We start from the raw sequence: 7278 nt of genomic DNA, 5'->3' as shown, positions 1-7278 counted from the left end.
TCCTGATACAGTTCTTTCTCCACAAAGGAAAAGTAGTCCATATAAAACAATAGCATTGAGTTGCTATTGTCAGAGAAGGGGTAAATTATCAGGTGACTAGAGCTTATCTCTAGCATTACAAAAGCTCTTTTTAAACTTTCAGCCATTCTGCTGAGGCCATTATGATATTTGCAACATACATCCTTGCTTTATTTAACTGATTGCTCATGACCTTGGGTTTGCAGGGCCAATCTTATATAAACTCTATTTTATTCTTAGAACTATCTTTCTAATTTAGGAAGTTTCCATTAGCCAAATCACAATGCTTCTGACAATGTCACATGCATGTCTCAGGATTTCCTCAGGGGTGAATAATTGGCACAGTTTGCATAACATAGAATTCCCGTAAAATAAGATAAAATGTCATTATTAAAATATTAATATCTACTAAATAAAGTGACAGTCAAATTAATGGTTTAAGCAATATAAATCAAGATTTAAGGAAACAAAACTATGTAGGTTTAAGTCATTAAATTGATTTTACAAATTACTCATGTAGACTTTTATATACAACATATAAACTCTTTAATTTATATTTAATATATGAACAATATGTTATAAATAACTTTCTAGGTATCCTTATGTTACTTTAGAAAGATAGTTGCCAAACATTGCATGATAGTAATAAAGCATAATGTATCTGATTATTCCACTGTTGTTGGGCATCTAGACCATTTACTGTTGCTTCATTTAAATGTTTCATTTTAATATCACAATTAATATTCTCATACATATCTCCTTATCTACTAGTACTTTTTATTATAATTATAGTATTCCCCTTATCACCACCACCAACAACAACCAAACACAGTGGGACATGGAGTAAAAAGCAAAAGAGACAAGAACCTTCAAACTCCCTTCAGAGACCTGCCACTCCTGGACAGGTCCGTGCCTCCGGGAGGTAACTGCCACTATCACTTTGATGTTTATAGACTTTTATCTAAGTATTTGTAGCAGAGGATATCTTTACACAGCAATATTAGTGAATATGCCTGAATATTTCTCAGGAATGTGTTCTCTTGAGTCTCTAGGTCAAGGGATCAGTATAATTTAAATAAACATTCTTTCACAAAATAAAAAATGCTGTTCCAACTTAAAGAATTAATCAGCAAAAAACTAGAAAAGGATCTGTTTTTCCCATGATCTTGCTGACATTGAATATCTATTCTTTACTTTGTCAAGTAGCTCTCTTCCCTCTGCTACCACTATCATCCAAAAAAGAAAAAAAACAATAACACCCATATACCACTCGATTTGCATTTCCCCATTAAAAATGAAACTGCCTTTTATTTGCATTTCTCCATTAAAAGAGAAATCCCATTAAAAGTAAAACTGGCTTTTCATAAGTTTCTTTGTTACTAGAATTTCTGTATTGGTGAATTACTTTTTATAGTCTTAGACCATTTTTATATGATGTTGCTGTGTTATTTATATTGATGCATAGACATTATTTGTATGTATGGATATTAATCCATTACCTCTTATACCCATTGCAAATAATTTCTTCCACTCACTTTTATGTCTTTAACCTTAAACTGAAATTTCATTTTTAATAATTTTCTTCATCTTCTTAATCTCATTTAATAATGTTGCCCCTAGGGCAAGATTATAAAAATATTTTCTTATATTTGATTCTACTTTTGATTTTGCAATTGTCTCTAGTTTATACAGATGTTTCATATGTGTATGGTGTGAGATAATAGTCTAATTCCGTTTTTTCCCAGATAAATTTCAGTGTCAGCTTTTTACATTCCATGAAAAGACTCTGTTGGGATTAGGGTTGGTATTGCATTGCATTTAATGATTATTTTAGGGAGAATTGCCATCCTTACACCATATATCGTCCTCATTCCCACCCCTACCATAGTTTGGCCCTTTGTAAATGACAACTTTGCCTTCTATTTGCTGAGGATAAATATCATCATGTTCATCCCTGATTAGTCCTTGTTTTGCCTACACCATATCCAAACCATCAGTAACTTCTCTTAGCCCTCTTTTAAAATCCATCCAAAGTCTGACCATTTCTCAGAAAGTTCCCTCCCACCCTGCATCCTGAAGAACCTTGCTGCTTTCACTATTAAAAAACCAAACACCGCATGTTCTCACTCATAGGTGGGAACTGAACGATGAGAACACTTGGACACAGGAAGGGGAACATCACACACCGGGGCCTGTTGTAGGGTGGAGGTAGCGGGGATGGATAGCATTAGGAGATATACCTAACGTTAAATGACGAGTTAATGGGTGCAGCACACCAACAGGGCACATGTATACATATGTAACTAACCTGCACGTTGTGCACATGTACCCTAAAACTTAAAGTATAATTTAAAAAAAAGAATGTTAAATAAATAAATAAATAAAAATAAATTCCTTCTTTGAGTCATTCCTCAGTTTAGTTACCAGCATGGCCCTCTTAAAATGCAAGTGGACTGCCTCCTCTACTGGCAGTCCATCAGTGAGTGACTTCCCATTCCTCAGGCAGAGAAGCCAAGGGCCCAGAGTCTTTCCAGGGCTCTACAGCCCCACAGGTCACCTTCCTCCCCTGCCCATTCACAAGCTCATTGTTCTCTGATGCACAACTCACCAGACACTTGCCTGCCCTGCACACTCTTCCTCTTGAAAGCTAATGATCTAAAATACGTCCTCCCTCATGAGTACCTTGATGAACATTCTATTAATATTTAAATGGCATTCCCACCCTACGCATCCAGAACCCCCAATCCATTTTTACAGCATTATTTTTCTTCCAAAATACTCATCATCATGTGACATACTATGTATTTTTACTTCTGTGTTTAATGTCTGTCAGTCCCTTATTGCAGGAATTACTTTTTCTTGTGTTGTCTTCAGTATGTACTAAAATGTCTAGTTTATAGTATGAGCTTAATAAATATTTGTTGAATAAACAAATATTGAGTATTTATATTCAGAAACATACTATGTCTCTTAATTTTGTCACCTTAATTTTGGTCTTTCAACTAAGTTTTTAAAGTTGTTATGTAGGTTTCCATGCTTCTATGTGAAAAGGATGCGTTTTCTATCATATTTTAAATTGGTTATTAGTATAGAAAAGCTATTGGTTTCTGAATATTGACCTTTGATTCAGCCATCTTGCTGAAAATTTTCAGTATTTCCTTTTCCAATTTCTTGATAGACCATAGATTTTCTGCAAACAATGCCAATTTTTCTTTTTTCCAGCATTATTATTCCTTCCTTTTTTGCACCTTCCATTAAAATAGTGACAGTGGGCAGCTTTTCTTATTCCAGGCTCAAACAGGAATGACTGATGTTCTACTGTAAATATGATGTTTCCCATAGCTTTCTAGTAGACAATCTTCATGAAGTTAAGGAAATTACCTTTTATAAGATTTAGTAAGTATTTTATCAGAAATGCTAGAGTTCGATTAATTGTTTTTTTGGCGTCAGTTAAGATAATCACGTTTTAGCTTTATTTTTCAATAAATAATTAATTCTCATAAATCAGTGTCCTAATGTTAAACCATTTATGTATTCCTTGGATAAATGCTAGTTGGTCATTGATATAGTTTGGCTCTGTGTCCCTACTCCAATATCATGTTGAATTGTAATTCCCAGTATTGGAGGAGGAGCCTGGTGGGAAGTGATTGAATCAAGGGGGCGGACTTACCCTTTGCTATTCTCATGATTGAGTTCTCACAAGATCTGGTTGCTTGACAGCATGTAGCACCTCCCCATTCTCTCTCTTTCTCCTACCAGCCAAGTGAATATGTGACTGCTTCCCCTTCATCTTCTACCACGATTGCAAGTTTCTTGAGTCCTCCCCAGCCATACTTTCTATACAGCCTGCAGAACTGTGAGTCAATTAAACCTCTTTTTTCATAAATTACCCAGTCTCAGGAATGTCTTTATAGCAGTGTGAGAACAGACTAATACAATTATAAGGTATTATTCTGAAGTATTATTCTTTTTTTAAATTTTTTTTGTATAGTTGATGCATGTGTATGTACAGATTACAGTTACATTATGAAGCATTGTAATAAAATCAATAGGCTGGGTGTGCTGGCTCACACCTATAATCCTAGCACTTTGGGAGGCCAAGGTGGGAGGATCACCTGAGGTCAGGAGTTCAAGACCATCCTGGCCAGCAAGGGAAAACCCTGTCTCTACTGGAAATACAAAAACTAGCTGGACATGGTGGCATGTGCCTGTAATCCCAGCTACTCGGGAGGCTGAGGTAGGAGAATCACTAGAGCCTGGGAGGCAGAGGTTGCAGTGAGCCGAGATCTGGCACTGCACTCCAGCCTGGGAGACAGAGCAAAACTCCATTTCAAAAAAATTAAATTAAATTAAATTAATAATAAAAATCCTACATAAGAAGAACTAACAAATACCATTGCTATCATCTCCTATCATCTTCCTGATTCCCCAACTGTTCTGAATTCTGTAATTGTCACTCCTTTCTTTGTTTGTTGATAGTCTCATGCACACACAAACACACACGCGCGCACACACACACACACACACAATTACTTAACGTCTCAATATAAACAATAAACAAACCCTTCAGGGTTTTTAGATTTTCTTGTCTATTTTTATAGGACCCAGTTCAACATGGATGAAGGTCTTTGAGGATCCCAAGGGAAGAAAATACATAAGACCAAGGGGAAACCATATTATTCCGTGGTAAAGCATGCCTATTTCATTTTAATTATCTCTTTTAAATATTTTCATAGATAGTCAATGATCTAGAATGGAGGAAGTTGCTATTTATTATTCAGAGGTGGGTAGTTCAAAATGGAATCTTAGCCAGTTTTCTTTCTTCTCTCTCTCTTTGATCTGTGAATTGGTTCCAATCTTGCTTGTGTCGAGAGGCAAAACTATGGCTCCCTGCCAATTCTTTTATCTGTGTACCCTGGCAAAGGTCTTAAAAATGAACCCTAGGATGTTGTATAGACACTATATGAGCTCCACATGTGTCAGCATGGAAAGAATACTGTTCTAAGATATTTAAAAGTCACCACAGATGTTCCTTTCAGAGGCAGACCAAACTGAAGTTAAAAAAAATAAGCATACTTACAAGAATTAGAGAAAAATCCAGATAATTACTGAACAATCTGTCAGTGGTCTGGAAGCCAAGTCTTGCAGAATACTATATAATAAAATTATTTGATTGTTGAATTTAATTGAAGAGGAGAGTTTATGTAATTTAATATATTTTAATATGTATCTGCTTTCATATGGCAAAAGGAACATACTCCAATTCTTTGATTAGCAAGGATCAATTCAACTGGAGGAAATTTAAAAAACAAACAGGTTTTTTTGGTTGTTGTTTTGTTATATTTAATTTGATTTAGTTTTTTGTTTTTGTTTTTGTTTTTGGTGGGGGGATTGTGACAGTGACTGTTCAACTTTGAAAACTTACATAAAATTGATGGTATATTGAAATTTATGAATTTATGGTACATAAACTATATCTCAATAAAGCTCTTAGAGGAAAAAATTGTTATATTTCACAACATACAATGCCACAATTACATACTTGGCAAAGTTTTCAATCTCTCACCAATAAAATTTAAATGCACAAGAGACAACTTAAAAAACTTTTAGTAAAACAGTATATTTGTTGGCAAAGTTCACAGTGAAAACTGAGCTTGATTCTAGCACTTAGCCAGCAGTGTGGGGATAAGTGTTGCTTGGGGAATTTACTGTTCAACTACTCTGTGGGACTGCAGATTACTTGTCAGTTTTTGCCAGTTCAGCACAATTCCTTACTTCTTTGAAGTCCTACTCAGCAATAATTCACAAGGTGCTGACATGGAGTATCAACTCAAAGATAGAAAATGACTAAACTGCAGTTAAAACTACTTGACAATGCAGCTCAGAGCATAGAAAAATAATTTTAGGTATTTTATATGTGTGGAGATTTGTGTATATTTGGGCAAAAAAATATCAAAACAGTAACTGAGTGTTGGCTGGACAGTTAGCCTGTTAACTGTGCAACTAAACAATATTCCCAAAGGAGGCAAAGGTGAATGACAGAAGGGTGGGAATTTAGAAAGACTATTGAAATGACAAAATTGGACAAAAGAATTGCTGATGACTGGAATGGGTTTCAACACACAAAAATATATGATTCTACCTTCAACTTAATATGAAAACAAAACAACAAAACATGATTCTGGGTAAGACATTAATTCATGTCTTACTCAACGTTAGTAAATGGTTAAAGAACCTAATGCCTGGAATCCTCTTTCAGGGTGGAAAGGCCTCCTAAATAAACCACTCCTTGTTGGATGCCTTCTGCAATCTTCCTGACAAATGATGACTCTCCCTCTTTTTATTTGTGGTTCTTACCTCCCAGCATTCATTTTGGTATTGGGAACCAGCCCTTTCCACACATGGGAATAGCAATCCCTGGAGCTGTGCAGTGCACAACTGCACACATGGCTCTCACTGACCTTGCATAAGACAAAGTGAACTATATGATGCAAACTGTACCAATCAGATGCCTGTGCTTAACTTGGAATCAGAAACTGAGTTGAGAAAGACATTCAACCCAAAGGTGACATTCTGAAAAGATACCCCATTCGTTTTTTTTCTAGCTAGGTCCCAGAAGCTGCCCTGGTTTCTGTTGAGACCTAGTTCTTTAGCTTTTTTTTTTTTTTTTTTTTTTTTTGGTATTCTGGGGTACTTGAAATCCAACCTATATATATTTTCAGAGACTGTTTCTATTAATGGCAATCTAAGAACCATGCCTGATGCAGTGCCTGTCCTATGATGGGAACTCACCCATTCTCCATGAACCTTGTTCTTTGAACAATTCTGCATATAAAGTACTGCTCCATCATACTGAGCTGACATTTGTCTTCCAAAGACTCCTAACCCATGGCTCTAACTCTGTTTCCTGAGGCTATCAATGAAATTGACTCCTTTTCCATGTAATAGATCTCTAAATTTTTAAAGACTGGTTCAATGTTCACTCTGCCCAAATTTGGTTAAATCTCCCATTTCTCCAGCTGCTCCTTTGTTAGCATGTTGAATCCTCTGTAGATATTCCTTTCAGGCTCCTTCACTTTGCCTGAATGAAATGTATAATCCATGGCCCCCAAATATAGCCTAAAACTTAACAAGCACCTTGCTAGGTATATTCTTAGTTGTAATTGATGCTCAGTTGAATGAATGTGGATATTTCAAAAGGTGTCTCAGCATCCCACCTGGGAACGCAGCACAAATCAATAAGGAGCTATGGACACGTTT

The 7278-nt window shown here is 35.8% G+C and overlaps 1 long non-coding RNA gene across 1 annotated transcript; it reads left to right on the top strand.

Moving 5' to 3' along the window:
• The first annotated feature begins 864 nt into the window (after nucleotides 1-864).
• LOC105373535 (uncharacterized) lies at nucleotides 865-4782 on the top strand. Its single transcript, XR_923153.2, has 3 exons — nucleotides 865-940; nucleotides 3778-3874; nucleotides 4620-4782. It is a non-coding gene; the product is annotated as an uncharacterized LOC105373535 (long non-coding RNA).
• The last annotated feature ends 2496 nt before the right edge of the window (nucleotides 4783-7278 follow it).

This window comes from Homo sapiens, chromosome 2 (assembly GCF_000001405.40).
Source record: "Homo sapiens chromosome 2, GRCh38.p14 Primary Assembly".
In the NCBI taxonomy this organism is placed as follows: Eukaryota; Metazoa; Chordata; class Mammalia; order Primates; family Hominidae; genus Homo; species Homo sapiens.
Note: the sequence above shows the minus strand (reverse complement) of the source record. Positions and strands in the feature narration are given on the sequence as shown.